The following is a 22,404-nucleotide window of genomic DNA, read 5'->3' as shown; positions in this document are numbered from 1 at the left end:
AATAAAATATATCCTCCACTCAGTTTTTCTTTTTTTTTTTTCCTTCTGTTGCCCAGGCTGGAGTGCAGTGGCGCGATCTTGGCTCACTGCAGCCTACATCTCCCGGGTTCACGCAATTCTTCTGTCTCAGCCTCCCAAGTAGCTGGAACTACAGGCGTGTGCTACCACTCCCAGCTAATTTTTGTATTTTTAGTAGAGATGGGATTTTGCCATGTTGGCCAGGCTGGTCTTGAACTCCTGACCTCAAATGATTCGCCTGCCTCGGCCTCCCAAAGTGCTGGGATTACAGGCGTGAGCCACGGTGCCTGGCCATCCACATAGTTTTTCTATCGAAGGGGAGAACTTCTTGAAAATGCTCTATGAATTATAGTAATACCATACAAAAATAAGTTATTATTAGAGAACTATCAGTTACTACCCTTAAAATACATTTAAGAAACATGCAATTCTTGTACATAATGAAATTTATATACTAAAATTTCAATATTTAAATTTTCAAAAGATTATCTTTTGGGGATGCAGGTAAGAGGAATTTCATCAGATGAGGAACATCTGCAAAGATCTTTTGTTTTCTGACTGGCATTCTCACAAGGTTTCAAAACCTGCCTGGAAAGAAAAACTATGTAGATACATAATTTAGCGACAAACCTTATACCTTATGCGGCCTTACTCCTTCATTTAACAAATGAAAGAAGAAAAATACCAGAAAGGTTAAGCAACTAAGGTAAAGTCAAACCACTTGAGTTTTCTGATTCCCAAACTACTGTCCTTTCCACAAGGCCAGTCAATACGTAAATCCCTTTCTCAAAGAGCCTACCAAAATTGTAACTAGCATCATGTTAACATTATTACCAGTTTTCCCTATATAAATCACAAACTCTTTGAGGATACTCTTTTTATTCCTCTCCCTTCTATCAGTACCTAGCAAAACCTTAAATATGTAATACATAAAGGATGCTGGATTAAGCTTAATAAAAACCAGTATTAAGTACATGAAAAGATGCTCTGTTATCAGTCGTTAGGAAAATGCAAACTAAAAGCACAAACAGATACCACCACTACACACTTAATAAAATGGTTAAAAAACAAAACTAAACTTAAAAAAAACTGACACTGCCAAGTAAACAAAGATACAGAACAACCAGAATTCTCATACATTGCTGTCTAGAATGCACAAACGGTACAGCCATTTCAGAAAAGAGTTTGGCAGTGTTTTACAAAGTTAAACATACACTTACCATATGAAGACATATGTCCACCCAAAAGCTTGTATACAAATATTTATAGTAGCTTTATTCAGAATCACCAAAAACTGGAAACAACCCAAATGTTTATCAGCTGGTAAATGGATAAACTGTGGCACTCAGCAATAAAAAGGAATAGACTACTGATAGAAGCAACAACATAAATGAATCTCAAATGCTTTATGCTAGGTGAAAAAATTCCTACCCAAAATGCTACCATACTATATGACTCCATGTAAATGACATTCTGGAAAAGGAAAAACATGAGGACAGAAAACAGATCAGTGGTTGCCAGAGCCTGGAGGAAGGGGAAGAGAACTGATTACAAGAGACGACAGAGAACTTTTTTGAGGTGATGAAGAGACAACAGAGAACTTTTCTGAGATGATGGATATATTCTATATTTTGACTATGGTAGTGGTTGTACAACTGTATGTTTGTCAAAACTTACAAAACTGTATGCCTTAAAAGGATGAATTTTTCTATATATAAATAATACCTCAGTAACACTGATTTAAAAAACAAAAAGTCTCACTTATGTCCTTTCATTACCTGAGACCCTAAGTAACTTAATGAGTTTCTGTGGCCTTTATAGTTTTTCTTACCGAGAAAATGGAGGGGCTATAATATTAGTATTTAACCGTTACCGGTGGAGCATGTCCAGGTTCTTGGCGTTTTGAACAAAGAATTGGACAAAATGTACAAAAGAAGCAAGGAAAAGAATGAAACAACAAGAGCAGAGATGTACTGAAAACGAAAGTACACTCCACTAATGGGAACTGCACCAGCAGCGGCTAAAGGGCCTGGATACAGAATCTTCTTGGGTCCAAATACCTGCCAAAGGTTTCCCATTGGTCACTTGGTATTCACCTCATGTAAATGAAGTGGTGCCAAATCAGAGGCTGAAGTGAAGCTACAAAGGTCACTCTCCTATGCAAACATCTGATTGGTTGTGGAAAGCAACCAATCAGAGGCTGAAGTGAAGTTACAAAGCTGCACTTCTATGCAAATGAAGATTTGGCCCGTAATCAGTCTGTTTGCCAACAACCAACCAGAGGCTGAAGCGAAGTTACAAAGTTACACTCCTTTGCAAACGTCTGATTGGTTGCTTTCTGCAACCAACCAGAGGTACTTTCAATTTTCCATCTGCCACGCAGAAAAGGTAGGGGTCTGCAAAGGGAGTAGCCTCCGGCTCTTTTGTTACTTAGGCATGGAAAGTGAGGGTTTTCCTTTCAATTTAGTTCTAAGAAGTAAGCGTGAAATGGCCTTAAGCTCCTGAGTCCAGACTCTATTCTCCTGCCTCATAACTACTGCCTCCCTTCCAGTGTTAAAATCATATTACTCAACTGTAGAAACATTTTTGTGTCACGTCTACTTTTCTTAGAACTCTTAAAATTATATTTGTTTTGTGTTAATGGTAAATAACTAAAGGTAAATAAATATTTCAAGACATACGAATTTAAAATGTCAAAGCAATATTTCTCAGATATATTTTAATAAGTTGTGGTTGTTAAATATATAATTTTTCACCAATTCTCTTGTTATCACAAAGTACTATAAATAGATATAAAATAATAGATTATATAAACTGGTGTAAACTTAAAGGCAATACAAGTAAAATACCTAAACACATAAAAGGACAGACACTATAAAATGAAGGAAATGTATATAAATTCATTGATAGCTTATTTATATTTACTAAAGCAACATGCTGCATCTTTTGGAGATGAGTTATACAAAAATTCTACTTATTAATGCAACCTGGAACTAGGTTTATAATCCAGAGCTTCTCTTTATTAAATATTTTATTTTTATTAAATAAATATTATTTGGAGCACTGTGGATAACCTTAGGAAGATTCCATTAATTCTCAAATTAAAGACATTCCTTATGGTGTTCTCAGTTACTGCACTGTGACTGCCACCAACAGTCATCACTGCCTAGCACGGTGTCACCTTTAGCTTGCAGAGCTTCAGCCAAGAAGAGAAGTAAATAGGGAGTTCTCTACACTACAGTTCCTACAAAGCCAAATGCCCACAAAAATGCCAGTGGTAAAGCACACAGGAAGTAACTAGCTACAAAAGCCACTCACAAGAATATGTTGTGTACTAGAAAGGTTAAGAAACCACATCATTATAAGCCTTGTACTGTGGCTCTCAGTGAAAATCAGATCAGAAGTTATCAAATGTATGCTGAACTTCTCACTTGCAAATTTCCCTTCCAGCATCAGTTGTGAGAACTTCAAAACAGATCTATACTTCCAGAGTGCAGCCACTGACACTTTTCTAAAGGCAAGTGAGGCCTACCTGGTTAGCCTATTTGAAGACACCCACCTTTGTTTTATCCATATCAAATATGTAACAATTATGCCTAAGGATATCCCACCAAAAAGACTCATATGTAGAAAATGTGCTAAAATGTATTATGAAAAGAAATATTTTATTCTTAAAAAACAAAAAGGTACCTAATTATATGATTGCAAATGGAAATAAATGGATGAGAGAATAAGGTATTAGCAAGTTTTTCCCCCACTTTGATTTGTATGCAAATTTTTGGTATTAATGTTGGGGACAAAAAACATTCCAGCAAGTAAAAAATGTTTCCATGAACAAGTTTCAGCAACTAAATTTTATAACAATTGTAAACAAATCTGTTGACTTTTTCTGGGGAAAAAAATATTTTTTGCCCCCTAATGTCTAAACAATAAAAATCTAAACACTTTCTGGGCACACAAAGCCTTTGGAATTTTTAGACACAATCTGCCAGAACCAGGCGCCCCATGCATCTACACTAAATTTTTTGCCACTTCCTAAAATGCACTACAAACTTTCTTGTTTTGAACACTATTCCTCCTTCTCTACATAATAATCAAGTCAGCCTTTGTGATTACATTCTCACAGAATCCCCTAGAGAAAGCCAGCTGCTCCCCGCTCTATGGTCCCACTTTATTTCCACATTATATATTTGTCTGGTCACCTGTTTGTCTCTTCCATTAGTCTAGACTAGGATCTAGAACTAGGCCAGATTCCTTATTCATCTTTGAATCTCTCTGTAGTAGTTCTTGGCAGCTACTAACTCAATGTTTAACTGAATGAATTCTATAAAATCAGGAGCCATGGAAATCTACACTAAAAACAATGAAAGTGTATTCATTATTAAATACAAATAAGTATTTAAAACAAGAAAGGTATTTGTAGTAAACTAGAATGCTTTGGTTGTACTAAAAAATTTCACTGAGGTTGTAAATGAGGTTCATGATTTTCCTGAAGTTAAACCTATAACCTTACCACAGGTATTGGATTCACATCTTTATACAGAAAGATTTAAGTTCTAGACCTTTTTCTGAATTATGTCACTTAGGCTTTCTTTAATTTTTCTCTACTAGAAAGTCACTTTATTTAATATAAGCATATTACACTAATACTTGAAAATTATTAGTATAGAAGCAGTCCACTACACAGCATCAAATTTAAAGCATCATCATAGTACCACTGACAGGGACAGTCTCTTCTATCCATGTCAACTAGTTCTACACCAGAGCTACAGAAAATCAAAATTATCAAACACATCAAGTTCTCTCAGAAACTGTCTTAATATGGATCCTGCTTTAAAATAACATTTCGCACTGAATCCTAATAAACAAGAAATGTGTTAATCTAGTGAATTGACAACCACCTATATAAACCAAACTAATTTTTCTCAGAACCTCATTAGCTGAACTCAAAATTTCTTTTACTTTTAATACTTTCACTTTGTTATGTGTTCCAATTTTCTTTTCTTTTTTTTTTTTTCCTGAGACGGAGTCTCGCTCTGTCGCCCAGGCTGGAGTGCAGTGATGCAATCTCCACTCACTGCAAACTCCGCCTCCCGGGTTCACACCATTCTCCTGCCTCAGCCTCCCGAGTAGCTGGGACTACAGGCGCCCGCCACTGCACCCGGCTAATTTTTTTTGTATTTTTGGTAGAGACGGGGTTTCACCGTGTTAGCCAGGATGGTCTCGATCTCCTGACCTCGTGATCCGCCTGCTTCAGCCTCCCAAAGTGCTGGGATTACAGGCGTGAGCCACCACACCCGGCCTATGTGTTCCAATTTTCAAAGCTGTAACAATAGGTCTTACTTGATCATATAAGAGAACCTGTCAAATCTAACAATAATTTAGGATTAGTGCTGTAGACATTAAGATAAGTAGCTGACAGGCTGTAATCAGCTGTCAACTTCAAATGACTTGCATAACTAAAATATAATTTCATTTTCATTTAATCCACAAATATTTGTTGAATAACAACAATGTACAGCACATTGTGATGGCCCCTGGGGGAGGATATAGAAATGAAGGTAATGATAGAAATGATGGTAGTAACAGAAGGTGGTAATAGCTAATATCTATTGATAGCTTATTGTGTGCATGACACATTACATGTATTAACTCATTTAATCTTCCCACCAATGCTAGGAGGTACTTAGAATTATCCTTAATTAACTAAGGTACTGACAGGTTAAGGAATTTGTCCAATGTCAGACAGCTGGTATTTGAACCTAGGGACTCCAGCTGTAGTGTCCTGACTCTGAGGAACCTCCCATCTAATAGAAGGTATTAACTGAAATAACAAATAACTTATAATAAAGAAGCAGAATTTTTCAAATGCCAAAGGTGCTGTAGGATTTTAGGATTAAGAATATGCAATCAGGTTGAAAGAGGAGAATTTTCAGGCTGGACTTTGCTGGTTGGATAGGATTTTTTTTTTTTTTTTTTTGAGACGGAGTCTCGCCCTGTCCCCCTAGCTGGAGTGCAGTGGTGCGATCTCGGTTCACTGCAAGCTCCACCTTCTGGGTTCACGCCATTCTCCTGCCTCAGCCTCCTGAGTAGCTGGGACTACAGGCGCCCACCACCACACCCGGCTAATTTTTTTTATTTTATTTTATTTTAGTAGAGACGGGGTTTCACTGTGTTAGCCAGGATGGTCTCAATCTCCTGACCTCGTGATCCACCCATCTCGGCCTCCCAAAGTGCTGGGATTACAGGTGTGAGCCACCAGGCCCAGCCGGTTGGATAGGATTTTAAGAGCATGTTTTAAAGAACATCAAAACTTGAGACATATATCTCAGTAATTTTTGTAAAAACTGTAATCTCTCAACAGCAGGTTATATCAATAACAGTTTTGCATAAATTAAAACATTCATATACATGGATACTTTATGTATGCATGTTTCAGTTTAGTTTCATTAAATGAAAGAAGAGGGCAATTATTACTTCCACACCTAAGGACAAAGGAAATGGAAGTATGCAGTAAGGTAGAGAGGACGCATCTATTTACTCACACTACATCTACATCCATCCCTTCTTACACTATACCAGTAAAAACCAGGCTCAGGAAAACACATATTCTTTAAGAACGTCGATGTGAAAGATCACATCATTTTTTGTCAGTCATCTGCCATCACTGCCAAGCACAATCATTTTGCCAAATACTTTTCCACAATGGAGAATGTCTGTATGTTAGATTTGAAAATCTGTGTCATAAACCTCATAACAGAATATGCCTCTGCATATCATGCCACCTACACATGCTGCCTGAACTGAAGAAGGTCCTTAATACCAAGGAATTTGTTCTAAAAGTAGATGTCTTTTGGAACTTTAATTTACAATAGGTATTTAAATATATATATTTAATGCTCTGTTTTTTACAACCCCTGTTTTTGATACAATCTTTTCTTTCTAACTTGGGCTATCACCATACCCTACTATTCTGGAGATGCAGGAACTCCTCCTTTCCATTTGGCAAAAAAAAAATTACAGTATCTGGGCACTAAAAGACAAAAAATCTATATGACTAATCCAAAAAAGAGAAAATAGAAGATAGGCAAGAATCCTAATTATTCAAATAGTCATTTTCATGTAAAATAAAAGTCCACCCATTTAAAACTCCTTAAAAACTGCAGGACAAAAAGAAATACTTCATAGTATTCAGTCAGGGCAAGGGCACAGAAGTGACACATGAACATATAACAGCACATCTGAGGAACAGCAACTAATGTAGTGGAATGTGGTTTGTACAAAACTGGCTTGGGGCATGAGACAAAAACATTAAGAATCTCTGGTTAAAGAGGATAGACTGAATATAAGGATTTAGCTCTGATGCCTCCCAGTTAAGAAATTTTTGAAAGACTATTAACCCCAAACAAACAGAAACACAATTTTAAAAGCTAGAAAACAGAATAAGTGGCAATGACAATTACAACTAGGAAGGCTGAATTCCATGTTAGCCTAGAAGAAAGCAAAGACACCTAGTTTATATCACACTGACATTTAGTACACCAAAAGACCTCTAAACTCCTTGGAGAACTGGTTGATTCCAGGGTTGGGGCAAGGAAAACATAAGATGGGCTGAAGCATTATGTGGTGTTGGAAAGTAAGGAAGTGAGTGCTCAAAAAGCAAGGATGAGCACAGAAGCCCACCAGAAAAAGCACCCCCTGGCAAAAATTGGAACAGCTTGATCAACAAAATAAATGATATAGAATTGGATTATAATCCAAAGAATAAATATCCATAAGTCCATACTGATACAAATAAATAAGTAAATAAATGGGGGTGGGGGGAAGGACAAATTCTCCTCACAGAAGAATTTAAATTAATAAATGTAGAAATAATGAGAGAAATAGAAAATCACTATTATTAAGCCACAGTAATAATTGCTGCAGGCAAGATCACAGATAGATGATAAAATTAGTGGGCAGAAATTTAGGGGGAAATAGGTTATCTGCATGGTCTCAAAGAATTTGATTTTTAAAAGCTATTTTATTTTTAAAGTTTGACCTGCCTGGCTGAGTAACTTTAAATCAAAGTACTTAATAATTATTAAAGGGAAAAATAGTAACTTCACAGTGGAGAAACCTAGCAGACACCCTCTTACCCAAGTGATCAAGGTTAACATCACCAGTAGTACGTATCAGCATCATGCCCCCCTACCAACATAATGCACTAAGAAGAACACATCCCATCTGTGATAATCCTTCTTTTTATTCATAACCTCAATCTATTCATGAGAGAGCATCCACAAACCCAAATTGAGAGCCATTCCATGAAATAACTGACCAGTACTCTTCAAAAGTGTCAAGATCTTGAAAATGAAGACTGAAAAATTATCACAGATAAAAGGAAACTAGGAGATATGATAACCAAATGCAATGTGGTATCCTAAATTTGGATCTTGAAACAAACAAAAACTATAAGAGGGAAAACTGGTAAAATCTGAATAAATTCTGTAGTGTAGTTAATAATATTATACTAAGGTTAATTTCTTCTGATCATCGTTCTATGGTTATATAAGATGTTAAGATAAAAAGAAGCTGGATGAAGGGTATACGGAAACTTTGTACTCTTTCCGCAATTCTTGTGTAAATACATTAAAGCAAACAAACAAAAAAATAAACTAAGGGGCTCAGGAACTGGAAGTTTCAGACACTTTGGGAACGAGAGTGGAGTCCAAACTAGAACTGACCAAAATCTAAGAAGTAGTGAAAATCCCCAGACCTCCTCTTCTACTCTTCAACCCTTTCTGATAAAAGACTAAACAATCTCTAGAGAGCATATAACAGGATATATCTAGACTAGAGGACAACATGCTCAATTGAATTTGAAGGGTGCCATAATGAAAACTGGGGAATTAGGTTAATCTGCATGCTTAAAGATGAGACCCATATCCCCTTTTCCTACTCAGCTCTCAAGCTTGTTCTCTCCTGGCAAAAGATGAGAAATTTTGTCTGGGAAAACAATCCAGCACAAAAGAAAAGATGTGTCACTGGGTGCCCTGGTCTAAATGCCTATGTCTCCTTACCCCAAAATTCACATGTTGAACCCTACTTGCCAATATGATGATATTAGGAAGTGGGATCTTTGGATGGTGACTGGATCAAGAAGGCAGGGCCCTCATAAATGAGATTAGTGCCCTTGTAAAAGAGGCCCCAGAGAGCTGCCTTGTCTCCTTCCACCATGTGAGGACACAGCGAGACGGTGCTGCTCTGTGAACCAGAAAGCAGGCTTTTACCAGACACCAAATCTGCCGGCACCTTTATCTTGGACTTCCCAGCCTCACTCACAGGAACTGTGAAAAATAAATTTCTGTGGATTATAAGCCACCCAGTTTATGGTATTTTGTTTTTGCAGCCCAAATGGACTAAGACTGGGAGTCTGCAAGGAAATCATCCAGATTTACCATCCTACACAAAAAACCATAATCACACAAAAGCAGAGCTTCCATTCAGCTTAGGGCCTCTCTCTTAAATAAGCACAGACTGCCAAGGATCATGAGACATCTAAGGAAAGCAACAAATATGAAAGATAAAGACCAAAGCAAACAAACAGAAAAAGGAAATTTGGAAGAAAAAGAATATGCAGACAAAAAAAAAAAAAACTACCAATATTTCCTAAGAGAGATAAGACACTGCATCCATAAAACAAATATAGGATTTTTTTTTCAAAAAAAGGAATGGAAACTATACATATTATAGCAGAAATAAGAACTTAGTAGAAAAACTGGAAGACAAAGTTGAGAAAAATCTCCCAGAAAGCAAAGAAAAAAAATGTAAAGAAATGGAAAATAGATGAAAATAGACAAGAAAATTAGAGAAACCCATCAGTAGGCCCAACATCTAACAACAGGAATTCAAAAGAGAGAGGAGAGATAAAATGAAGGAGAGGAAATCAAAGAAATTATTTAAGGAAAATTTGCAGAATTTATGAGATAAATTCCAGATTGAACAGGATTAGCAGAATGAATTAAAAAAACAGACATATAACTACATAATACAAGAATTTCAGAACTCTGGGGACAAAGATTCTCTCTCTAGCTCGCAAAGAGAAAAAAAGAAAGTTTCAAAATAGTTGAAAAGGATGTTCTAAGCATCTGATCTCAACATCGACACAGAAAAATAGAAGACAGTAGAGCAATGCCTTCAAAATTCTGAGAAAAAATTATTTCTGACTCAGAGTTCTCTGCCCAGCCAAACTATCCATAAAACAAGAGGGGAGAAAAAACATTTACAGACATGTATAGTCTTGAAAAAATTCTATCCCATCCAGAGAACTATTGAAAGTGGCCCTTCAAAATGAGAAAGTAAACAAAGACAGCCAAAGATACCAGATACAGAAACAGGGGCTCCAAAACAAGACAGAACTGAGAGAATCATAAAGATGACAGTAAAGCAAGTCCAAGACAACAGCTGCACAAAAGTTCTAGCTTTAACAAGTTCAAACTGGAGTAGGTCAGAAGGCCCTGGGAAAGAGCTTCTCACGAAGTCAAAATTGGTAGGTTTGAAGATAAGCCATTTATACACTTGAGAGATAGTTTGGGCTAAATCAGGGTTTCTCAACAACAGCTCTACTGACATTGTGGGCCTTCTAATTCTTTGTTACAGGAGGCTGTCTTGTGCAGTGCAGAAGAATATTTGGCAGCATACCTGGCTTCTACCCACTAGATGTCAGTAGCACACACCCGCACTCTCCTCCCCTCCCCCAACATTGCCAAATGTCCTCTGGAGAGAAAATGGGCCCCAATTGATAACCACTTGGCTAATTTAATAAGTATACAGAAAACTAAGCAAAGCAAAATTGTTAAAAATTACTAACTCTGGCCTAGCTAACATGGTGAAAATGGAGTCATTATAAACTGAAATACTGATGTATACAGGCTGGGCATGGTGGCTCACGCCTATAGCCCTAGTACTTTGGGAGGCTGAGGCAGGAGGATTGCTTAAGCCCAGGAGTTCAAGACCAGCTTGTGCAATAATAGTGAAACTCCATCTCTATGAAATGCGGATGTATCCAAACGACTTGCAGTATGACAATATTGGGAGTACTGGGCAGGGTTAAAATGTGTGCTTGTGTGTGGTTGGGGATAGTGGTAAACCCTCATTTTTACTTAAACTGAAAAATATCTTAAACTGAAAAATCAAGAAGTAACACTATAAAAACGCTAGTTTCGGCTGGGCATGGTGGCTCACGCCTGTAATCCCAGCACTTTGGGAGGCCGAGGCAGGCGTATCACGAGGTCAAGAGATCAAGACCATCCTGGCTAACACTGTGAAACCCCATCTCTACTAAAAATACAAAAAATTAGCCAGGTGTGGTGGCGCGCGTCTGTAGTCTCAGCTACTCAGGAGGCTGAGGCAGGAGAATCGCTTGAACCCGGGAGGCAGAGGTTGCAATGAGGTGATATCGCACCACTGCACTCCAGCCTGGGTGACAGAGTGAGACTCCGTCTCAAAAAAAAAAAAAAAAAAAATGCCAGTTTCAAATATGGAAGTAAGTATCAAAAGAATGAGTTGAAAGCAGTTGCCCCTAGGCAGCCTGAAATGAGGGGAAATTTGCAGAGACCTACTGTTTTTGTAAATATAGTCATGTGCCATATAAAGACATTTTGGTCAACAATCACAAAGATGACAGTGGTCCCATAAGATTACAAATACCATATTTTTACTGTACCTTCTGTATGTTTGAACACACAAAGACTTATGATGTATTACAACTGCCTACAGTATTCAGTACAGTAACATGCTGTAGCCTAGGAGCAACAGGCAATGCCATATAGCCTAGGTGTGTAGCAGGCTAAACCATCTAGGTTTGTGCAAGCACACTGTATCATGTTCAAATGATGTCTAATGATACATTTCTCAGAATAGGTCCTCATCATTAAGTGACAAGTGACTATAGTTCTGCAGAGCTATTTAACTCTTATAAATATATGCATGTATTAAACATAACTTTGATAAAAATTAAATTTAAAAAATCAACTGAATCCATATTATCAAGGACTTTCCTACTGGTTAAAGCTACCTTGATTTAGAATCAAATAGCTATGTAACTTTGAGCAAGTTACTTAGCATCTTTAAGCCTAGTTTCTTCATGTGTAAAATGGATAATGAAGAATAATAGCTAATACTGTCATACTGTCAAATGAGATAATGTAAGTGAACTGGTTAGCATAGTGTCTAGCACATACTGTTTACAAATAGTACCTATCATTCAAATTGCAATCAGAGGGTAATAATTATAAACTTTAAAACAGGTAAATCTTAATCTCATCTGTTTTAGAAAGTAACCCTGGCAGTTGTGGGGAGGATGGTTAAGAAAGGAAAGGCCTTGGAAGCAGACTGACCAATTAGAAAGGCTACACATTGGAGAAAATAACAATAATTAGACAAAGGCAGAGCCATGGAGAGAAAGATAAGGATACAGAGACATTTTCTAAGTGGTGAACTATATGTGAGAAAAAGGAAAAGAGAGGAGTCAAAAACTGTTCTAACTTAAGCATATAAATAGATGGCGATAACACTAACTGAAACAGGAGAACACCAAGAATTGGGTTGTGAGAAGGGAAGGAGAAATAAGTTCGATATTACCTATATTTAATTTGTGGGTCCTAGAGTACAACCAAGTACAGATATCCAGAACAGTGGAAATCTGAATCTAGAAGGGGTCAGGGCTGGAGATATAAATGTGTAAATCACAATCAAAGGTTGAAGCTATACAAGTGGATCCGATTACTCAAGACAAATATACAGAGTAAGAGGAGAGGGGAAATAGGAAAACTGTGAGCACAAAAAAAAAAAACACTATGTAAATACCCCCAAAACTACAATCAGATCATCTCAATTTCTGTTTTTGAAAATAATGTACATGCTCATTTTTAAATATGAAAGTCTAAATATATATCCCAATAATCCAGAAATTCAGAAATAGCAACTCTTAATATTTTAGTGTATTCCTTCTAATCTTTCAACGCATTTAACCCTAAATTGTTCATTTTTTCCTGGACAAAATTAGAATCATATACAATTCTGCATTCAGCTTTTGCTTTCATTCATTAAATGAGCATTTCCAATGATATCTAAAATACTGACTTTTATTAAACACTCCAATTTGTTTAAAACGCTGGCGGGTATAACTTGACAAACTTGTCTCTTACTGGTAAGAGAGAGTCAACATCTGAAATTTAAGAAAAAGCCTCATTTTAAAAGAATCACTAAAATCAAGAATGACAATTGCAGCACATTTCCTCAGGTAATTTAATTAGGAGAAATAAAATTAAAAGAATATGCATTTGACATGTTCCATAATAGATACTGATGAATGGATTTTATAAGAAGTCAGACAATAGAAATAAAAATAAGTTGTTTTTGCTATCAATGTGTCTTATGTACTCTGAGGTTGCTGTGAAGCTCAAATGAGTTAATACAAAGCACAACCAACAGTATCTGGTATATAAATAAATGCTCAATAAATACTGGTTATTACTATCATCATCATCATTAGATGCCAAAACCAGTTCCAGACAGAAGTAGTGATTGCATGAAAGACAGGAGAAAAAAACCCAGAGATAAAGAATTTACATTTCTACTCTTTTTCCTTCATTTTTTCCATTTTCTCTGGATTTAGAGTCCATGAGCACTACTTTAAGTACTGCAGTTTAAGTATTATTTTTAAAGCATCAGTAAATATGCACCTTATCCTTGATCATTCTATAAGACACTTGAGAGAAGAACAAATTTTTCTATTCTAAGTTTTTCCTATTTGGCAGAATACAGTAATATGCACAGTGAGTACTCAATGAATATTAATGACACACATCCTTATAAGAAAACAGAATAACAAAATAGCAACCAAACAATAATTAAAATTGGGATGCTATTAAAAGAGACCTCAAAGCAGAAATCAATATACTACAATTCAAAGACATACGGCAGAATGAAACGGGTGAAAAGCTCTGTTCTTCACCACAATGAAGAGATACCACTCTCTTTGCTCTTTCTGGGTACAACAATTTAGGAGGAATACTAAAAACCCCAGATTATGTCCAAAAGAGAGGAACTAAGAAACAGTTAAAGAACTGAGGAAGCTCAGACTCAGAACAGAAAAGGTCAGTTCTCAGGCTACCCTCTCCCATCTTCAATGATGAGAAAAACTATCCTATGGGAAATGCTTTAACATTTCTGTAAGGCAACTATCAAAAGATGGCAGCTATAGAGATCTAGACTTCTCTCAACTCAAAAACTTAAAAATAACAGATCTCTTCTAAGACAAAGATTTTATCAAAGATTAGTCATAGAAGTATGTATTAAAGCAAAAGTTGGCAAATAGCTTGCCAATGATGCTGTGGAAAACCTCCAAGGACAGGATAATTGGTTAGAATGCTAAATTTACTTACAACTCTGTCACCACATCAACGAATATTTACTGAATATCTGCTCCAGGAAAGACACTGTCTTAAACCTATAGTACAAAACCTACAAAAACAAAAAGCAAAGACAGAGAAACATACCAAGTCTTTGCTGTCAAGGAATTCACAACAAATAATATATAAAATGTAGATTACAGTTTCAGATCATAATAGATGTCGCCAAGCACCATCTAGTAATTGCCAAATGAATTCTATTCCTATATAAAGGTCTTCTAAGAGGGAGAAATCTCTAAGGTTAAAATGGTCAGAAAAGGCTATTTAGCATAAATGAGATATGAGGTACTTATGGAAAAATGTGTATGAAGGTTTTGAACAGGAAGGAGGGGGCAGCACAAACAGAAGTGAAATGCAAGTTAGAGAGAAACCTGTTTGACTACATTAAAAACCTGTTTCATGGGAGAAGAGATAAGCTGGAAGGACAGGTTGTGGCCAGAATCAATGGTACTGGGCCTTGAATACCAAGCTAAGTAATTTCAAATTTATCCTGCATAGAGTCTCTGTAGCAACTACTCATCTCTGCTGTTGTAGCCATACAAAATACTAAATAAATGGCATAGCTGTTTCAAGACTAAAATTTGAATTACACATTATTTTCATGTGTCACAGACTATTATAATTCTTTTGACTTTTTTTCTTCAACAATTCGAAAATGTAAAACTCATTCTTAACTCACAGGCCATACAAAACCAGGCTGTGAACTGATCTGGACCACAGGCCGTGGTTTGCCAATGCCTGTACTACACTAAGCTGTCTTCTTCAAGAGTCCTCTAAAGGTACATTTGTCCTTGAGTTTCAGGGACCAAAATATATTATTCACTGAACAACTATACACTCCAACACACGCACGCACACATGCCCACATCTAACCAAGATCTAAATCTAGCAGGGGTCAGAGGTTCCCTATACAAAGGCCCTCAAAAAAAAAAAATCTTTAGATTATTGATAATAAGCCATTAAAATAAATGCATGAAATTTTTTAATTTGCCATTTATTTTCACATATATATGTACTTAGAGAGTTACAAACTATTCTTACAGAGCCTCTAAATTACATGTAGGGCTCTGTAAAATAGGGTATAATCAAGGGAATAGTAGCAAAGGAAGTGAGTTCTAGCACTAGGTCTGCCATTTACTCATTATTTGACCCTGAACAAGTCACTTTCAATCTTCTGGGCCTAACTCCCTTAACTGTAAAGTGGAGGGGTAACTTAGATGATGATTATGCTTTCTCTTAGCTCTAGCACTGTATGATTCTACTACTGTTTAAAAGGACCTGTCCCGGAGCTTCAAGGATCACACAAAAGTGCCAATTAAGAATACAAAAAAGAAGAGAAAGGCCTTGACTAAATGAGTGGGCAGATAGGACAAACAGGTGGGAAAATGACCAGAAAAGTGGAGTATCACTAAAATCAAGAAATTGTTTTTTTAAAAAAACTATCAGATCCTGCAGAGAATTCGAACAGCAGAAGAGGCAAGAAAAAAAAAGTCAAAGAATTTGGTCATTTAAGAGATAACTGGTGATTTTCAGAAAAAGTTTCCAGTAATCCAGAAGCAAATATGGAACTGGAGGCAATCACTTTAATAAAGAATGAGTGTGGCCATCAAAGAAGAAAAAGCTAGTTGGCTAGCTATAAAAGGTAAGAACCACAGATCATGCTTCCAGGAATCATGAAAGGAACCAGGGAAAAAGAAGACTGAAGATGAGACTAAGGAATAGACAATAAAGGCATATGGTCCATAAAAAGAAGAAAGGGAAAAAACATAAGTTGTGATGAATTTAAAGCCTCAGGGAAGGGAATTAATCTTAAAAGGACAGGCATTTAATCTTTAAACTTCCGTTGCTGTTATCACTTTTTACACAACAGATGTTTCTGCAAAGCTCGGTATCTATTATCATATCATGTTTTCTATAAATCAAGTTATTAGGGAAATAAATCTAATGTTGGGTTTTCTTAAAGCAGAGTTCCACCTATATGATATTTTTCTAATGGTCAAAAAATTAAGAAAGAATTTTGTTTTTTATAAAAATGAAAACCAGCAATATGAAGCTCTAAAATGAAATACACATTTATACCTTTCTTACAGCACCTATCACTTCCTTCCTTGCATAAGAATTACTTACGTGGTAAAGTACCTAGTCCCTAATTGGAGTTCAACAAACACTAGTGTTCCCTTTCTTAGTAGCTCAGAAAGTTCCCAAGGCAAGAATTCTGATTAACTCATCTGTTTATCTGCTTTGCACAGAGTTGGTGACGCTTGATGAACAAATACTGACACATAACTCTCTGCCTTTTACAAAAATCGTCCTTGCAAAACAACTATCACTGCCCTTCTGACAAAGCTGGGAAAATACTTGTATCATACAGGTACATAACTCCAATAATATCACCCTTGCATACTGTCAGAGCTTGCTTAAGTAACAAAGAATTGCTACAAAACAAGTAAAACAGGCACAAAAAAATTTAAGAATCTGTAATGATCACTCATTAATTTCAAGATCGCACACAGTTAATTTCAATCCAACACTTGTCTCTATTTAAGGTATATGAGAAATAAAAATCCAAAGCATTAGCCTGATGATCAGCCAGTTAAAAATACACATTTGAATACGCCGAAGATATTTATAAAGCCAACAGAGATACTATTAATACGTTGAAATTCGCTGGCCAGTGCTGGATTCTACCCTAAATCTTCTACTACTATTCAAGAGAAGCCAAGTAGTCAAGGCTTCTCGTATCACTTGCTTTTAAGAATTTAAGAAGTCACTCAAATTGGCATACACAACCCAACCTCAAAAAAAAAAAAAAAAAAAAAGAGTTCAGCTCTCCATGTGGTAATGTTCTCCTATCTCCTTCCTTTACATTAATGTCCCATGTACTACTTTTCCACGATCTTCGGTAGGCCCCATTTAGGCAGGCCAATAGTACTACCAAGTAACAGGAGTTGAAAAAAGTCGTAACAGTTAAGTCTGCCCTCCCACAGATCTCACTTGGGTGTAGATTTCACAAGCGCTGAAAGCTATACGCTGCCACTGTCAAACCCAGAAGCAGCACCGTCACCCTGCCGTGCCCATAGGCAACTGTTCCAGAATGTTTTCTTTGAAATGATCTCTCCCGGCTCCACACGTTAAACAAGAACTTAAAAGGCCACCTTCTCCCCTAGAGCAGAACCTGATTCTTTCCCGTCCGCTCCTTTATTCGTCCAGCCCCATAAAACCCGAGGCGGGAGGTCCGCTCCCCGGCCCCTAGAGCCAGCGGGTCTCCCAACTGCTCGCCGCACCCACCGTCCACCCCCGACTGCCTCACGCCTCCTCATTCCCCCACAGCCGAGCCTGCACCCCGGCCGGGCCCGCAGCCGAACCCCGGCCCGGGCCTGTGTTGCCTCGAGCGGCCGCAGGCCTAAGGCCTAACCTCCTCTGGGGCCCCTCACCTCTTTCGGGACCAGTTGGTTCTCCTCGCCGGGCACCATCGCTGACTCCGGCCGCTCCTCTCCGCCCTGCCGGGGGAGGGTGGAGGGTGGCGGCGGCTCGCTAGCTCAAGAGAGAATGGCAGCGGCAGTCATCCTCTCCGCCGCCTGCGCTCCAGCAATAGCGGAGGCCTCAGCCTGGGCCTCAGACACCAGCGCGCAGACACCGACCCAGGGCTCCGCCGCCGCCGCCGCCGCTACCACAGCCGCCTTCGTCGTCGGCCCCTCCCCCAGCCCGCTGCAATCAATGGAAAAATGGCGGCGGCCGCTCTCGCGAGAATTCGGCCCGTCGGGCTCCAAGCCCGGCGCCTGGCGTCGGAGGTGGCCGGCACTTGTCGCTAGCTTCTAGTCACCTCGGCTCTTCCTCAGCCCCGGGAGGTACAGAATTGGCGAGACAGCCATGCAAACGCTTTTCGTTAGAGGAGAGCTGGACGTTCCATCTCGGGACTCCCTCTGCCGGCCGGGGAAGGACCAGGCCCACTGTCCTCCCTGCCTTCTCGGGCTCTTCGGACTCTCTGCCCTGCAGGGAAAGACTCGAGCCGAAAGCCCCATCTCTGACCCTAGCAACTCATACCCTTCTGGCTTCCCTTTAGCAAAGCGCCTGGACGTCATCCCCTCTTCAGATACCCCAGGCCTCGTCCTGGTAGAGACACCACCGCGGGCCACCTCCCGGCCCCCGCCCTTAGACACGGCTCTGGCCCTTCCAGTCAGAATGGACAGCGTTTTATTTGCTCCCGTTCACTCTCCTGACGTTCTTTTCCCCTCTCCCCACCCTCCCTCTCAAGGGCCCCCAGCTGGAGGGACCTCAGGGGCCACCCCCTGCTTGGGGAGGCAGCCACCCCTTCCCTTATGAAGCGGTGTCCTCACCGCCCGCCCCCCGCAACTACATTGGAGAGGCGCTCCCCTGCCCTCTTCCAGGGAACTTCCTTCTCCATCAGGGCCAAGTCTGAGACTGAGCTAGCCTTCCAAGAGTAGAGCTGCAGTATGCTTCAACCTGTGATCTCCGTTAACAAGGTTTTTAGAGAATTTTAATCTTCTCTAGTAGTAAGCATGGTGCTTTGTGTTATACTAAACAAAGTTTGCAGAAGTCATTTCTCCAAATCCTGCTTCCATTATGGAGACTCGGCGGGGCTCCTTCATGAAGACTTTTATGGATACAGTGATCTTACAGCATGCTGAGATAATATAATCTTGTCATGTTCCTAACACCCACAGCATTAACTGCCTGCACTTGTGTTCTCCAAACTTTTTTTTATTGTAATCCCGTTACCAAAAAAAAATCCATATACTTATATAAGTTTTATACGTGTCCTGCTGTGTGCAGAATTATAAAACATTTGTAAAATGTAAAAAGGCTAAGACAAAGATGACATAAACATTTAAAATAACTTAGTTATTTTCCATATTAATGGTATAAAAATCTTTGTTATTCTCACTAAAAATATTTAAGGAAATCAATATGATTGACTAGGTTTCGTTAGTTTTAAAAATCTTTAATACTTCGTGAAATAGTTATTAAAATATCTGATTGAACGTCAGGTTATTTTTGTACTTGGTTTTAATGGCTGTCATAAGCTGAAAAAAAGGTAACTCACAAAGATGTAGATCCTAAAGGAGGAAGTACATCTTTGGCCACTCTTCCTAATGCATGTTTAGAACGATTTAAAAAAAAAAACTGATATGAAAAAAGTTTCATTTTTATCCATTCCATCCAACAACCATGCAAAGGTTTTTATTGAAATTCAGCTAGTAGTGTTCCATCTTTCCTGATGTCAACCAGAAGATGTTGCATTTTTATATTTTTACAAATGGGTTCAAAGCTCTTTGGAATAAATTGCTTAGAAGATTTTTAAGAAGTTGAAAATTTCTATCTTCAAGTTTTAAGTATTCATGTATGAGTTTTGGGAGTTATAGATCTTGTCTTTAAGGTTTTGATATTTTGATTATCATGGATTGATTAAGATAAATTTTGACTTTTTAAAATATTGTATTAAGATTAGTTGTCTTGATTATTGAATTTTTGGCACCCCCCCCTTAAATTTTGTGCCCAAGGTGAACGGTTTTCACCTTGAAAACCATTTGCTTCACCATAGTCCCAGACTTGGGTGGCTCACATATATCATTTTTGCATCAAAATCACATGATGGAAATATTTCCAAACTTTTATTTTCAAAATGTCATCCCATGACTTAGTAAGGTGTCTTCTGTAGTGCTGGCCAGTGCTGTAGTGCTCACCCTAGAAGTAAAAATGTCATCTCTGTCATCTTTTTTGCTTATGCTTGCAATATTATTTCAAACTCATGTTGTCTTTCCAGAAATCCTTTTTAGTCACTTTCATTTTAGTAAAGGTTGATATAATGAAATAAGAATGTAATTGATAAATCTACTTAACCCAGCCCACATAAACTGGAATAAGTGACAACATACTAAAAGAAAATGAAGGAATCTCTGAATTCTCTACATTGCAGAACTCACACTTCTCACTCAGGAGTAGTGAGATGCTGGTGTTTATATATTCAATATAAGTAAGATTTAATTTTGCGTTTTTAGATTAAAATAAATATAAAAAGAAAGTCTAACATTTTCTTCCTACAATCCCCCTTTTCTGATTGCACACTCTTTTCTTTATAGGCCACTGGCTTGACTATTGCAGGAGAGCCTGATAAGATGGTAAGTATACAATGAATATTTGTGGAATAAGTATGTGGATTCATGAATTGATTAATGAATAAATGGACAAATACAAATATATGGCTACTCTTCCTAATATATTATTACTGAGATTACATGGATATGTGTTTATTTACTTTATATGTAAATGTTACGTCCCTTGTCCTCACCTCTCCTATAGGCTGTAAACTCATATATCTACCTTTTTAATGGCTCAATACCTCCCAAATTTAAACTTGACCTGAACAGAACATTTGATTTCCAAGCCTCCCCTACCTCCTGCAACATATCCTCTATCAGTTCTTCTCCACCTTGATAAATTACACTGTCATCAATTCAGTTTATCAAACCAAAAACCTGACACTCTTCATCTTACATTCAATCCCTTCATATGGGCTGTTGCTTCCACCTCTGAAACACATCTCAAATCCATCCACTTTTCCTTCTATCTACTACTGCACATCCCACTCCAATTACTTTATTCTTTTGCCTGTACTACTGCAGTTACCTCCTAACTGGGTTCCTGTTTCTAATCTTATCCCTCAACAATCCATATTCCATAGAGCAACCAGAGTGATCTTTCAAAAATATGTCATATCCCTTCCAAATCTTCCAAAGACATCTCATCCCTCTTAGAATAAAATTCATATTCTTTGCTATAGCCTGTGAGATCCAATGTAATCAAACCCATCTGTCTTGCTCCAGTCATCTGCCACTCTTCCTCTTACGCCCAATGACCCAGCCACTTTGCCTTTATTGAGCTTTTTAAACACATAAAGTTTGTCTCTGCCCCAAAGCCTTTGTAGTAGTTATTTCCTTTCCCTGAAATATTCTTCCCGTAGATCTTTTCTCTTATCTAGTTCAATCTTGTCATTTGGGCTTCTCAAATGTTAAATCTTCGAAAAGGCCTTTTATGATAATCCAATCTAAACTGGTTGTCCATAATGCATCCTCAATGTCTAGAACAATGCCTAGCACATAGTAGGTCATTAATAAATTGGTGTTGAATTAAAAACAAAAACCAAATGCCAAGACTGGTGTAGGTCAGAGGCTGATGATTTTTCTTATAATTTCTTTGGGAATATTTTCCTTTTCCTTTTCAAATGAAAATGTTCATAGTATAACCCCAGTCAAAGTATGAAAAAAAATCACACAAACCCAGTTTGGAGGACATTCTACAGGATGCCTGGTCAGTATTCCTCAAGACTGTTAAGGTCATGAAAAACAATGAAAAACTGAGACACTGTCATAGACCAGAGGAAACTGAGGAAATATGACAAGTAAATGCAATGTGGCACTCTGAATTGGATCCTGAAACAGGAAGAAGCCGTTAACAAAAAAAAATGGTAAAACTCAAATAAAATGTGTATTTGGTTAATATTTATGTACTAATATTCATTTCTTAGTTTTTAAAATGTTTTTAAAAAATTTAATACACTTTATTATTATTATTATTATTATTATTGAGATGGAGTTTTGCTCTTGTTGCCCAGGCTGGAGTGCAGTGGTGTGATCTTGGCTCACTGCAACCTCTGCCTCCTGGGTTGAAGCGATTCTCCTGCCTCAGCCTCCTGAGTAGCTGGGATTACGGGTGCATACCACCACGCCCAGCAGATTTTTGTTTTTAGTAAAGACAGGGTTTCACCATGTTGGCCAGGCTGGTCTCGAACTCCTGACCTCAGGTGATCCACCCGCTCGACCTCCCAAAGTGCTGGGATTACAGGCATAAGCCACCGTGCCCAGCCTTTGTTTTTATTATTCACAGCAAAGACTATATTTAAATAGTAAAT

General features: G+C 38.0%; 1 protein-coding gene, 1 long non-coding RNA gene and 1 pseudogene across 17 annotated transcripts in view, besides 5 other annotated features; 2 read left to right on the top strand and 1 right to left on the bottom strand.

Annotated features, from left to right (window-relative positions):
* Positions 1 to 18,161, bottom strand: part of USP47 (ubiquitin specific peptidase 47) — a 119,916-nt gene extending 101,755 nt beyond the window's left edge. For all 16 annotated transcript variants that reach the window (NM_001372095.1, NM_001372093.1, NM_001372094.1 and 13 more), the window contains exon 1: positions 17,909 to 18,161. Coding sequence is in view for 10 of the 16 variants with exons in the window: in NM_001330208.2 (NP_001317137.1) it covers positions 17,909 to 17,947 (39 nt within the window). In the remaining 6 variants the exon portion in view is untranslated. The remainder of the gene's footprint in view (positions 1 to 17,908) is intronic.
* Positions 3,259 to 3,368: an enhancer, noted in NCBI's record as "active region_4461". NCBI's record gives its function as "activates an Ori minimal core promoter by ATAC-STARR-seq in GM12878 lymphoblastoid cells {active_cell/tissue: GM12878}" and the evidence as "EXISTENCE:reporter gene assay evidence [ECO:0000049][PMID:35858748]".
* Positions 3,274 to 3,643, top strand: H3P33 (H3 histone pseudogene 33; annotated as a pseudogene).
* Positions 17,356 to 18,219: an enhancer, noted in NCBI's record as "H3K27ac hESC enhancer chr11:11863461-11864324 (GRCh37/hg19 assembly coordinates)". NCBI's record gives its function as "activates a minimal SCP1, AML or CMV promoter by ChIP-STARR-seq in naive H9 embryonic stem cells {active_cell/tissue: H9 hESC(naive)}" and the evidence as "EXISTENCE:reporter gene assay evidence [ECO:0000049][PMID:30033119]".
* Positions 17,918 to 18,057: an enhancer, noted in NCBI's record as "active region_4460". NCBI's record gives its function as "activates an Ori minimal core promoter by ATAC-STARR-seq in GM12878 lymphoblastoid cells {active_cell/tissue: GM12878}" and the evidence as "EXISTENCE:reporter gene assay evidence [ECO:0000049][PMID:35858748]".
* Positions 18,220 to 19,085: an enhancer, noted in NCBI's record as "H3K27ac hESC enhancer chr11:11862595-11863460 (GRCh37/hg19 assembly coordinates)". NCBI's record gives its function as "activates a minimal SCP1, AML or CMV promoter by ChIP-STARR-seq in naive H9 embryonic stem cells {active_cell/tissue: H9 hESC(naive)}" and the evidence as "EXISTENCE:reporter gene assay evidence [ECO:0000049][PMID:30033119]".
* Positions 18,268 to 18,437: an enhancer, noted in NCBI's record as "active region_4459". NCBI's record gives its function as "activates an Ori minimal core promoter by ATAC-STARR-seq in GM12878 lymphoblastoid cells {active_cell/tissue: GM12878}" and the evidence as "EXISTENCE:reporter gene assay evidence [ECO:0000049][PMID:35858748]".
* Positions 18,292 to 22,404, top strand: part of LOC107984311 (uncharacterized) — a 27,287-nt gene continuing 23,174 nt past the window's right edge. Inside the window, exons 1-2 of the long non-coding RNA XR_001748134.3 lie at positions 18,292 to 18,958; positions 20,576 to 20,614. This is a non-coding gene — a long non-coding RNA (uncharacterized LOC107984311). The remainder of the gene's footprint in view (positions 18,959 to 20,575; positions 20,615 to 22,404) is intronic.

Source organism: Homo sapiens, chromosome 11 (assembly GCF_000001405.40).
Source record: "Homo sapiens chromosome 11, GRCh38.p14 Primary Assembly".
Classification (NCBI taxonomy): domain Eukaryota; kingdom Metazoa; phylum Chordata; class Mammalia; order Primates; family Hominidae; genus Homo; species Homo sapiens.
Note: the sequence above shows the minus strand (reverse complement) of the source record. Positions and strands in the feature narration are given on the sequence as shown.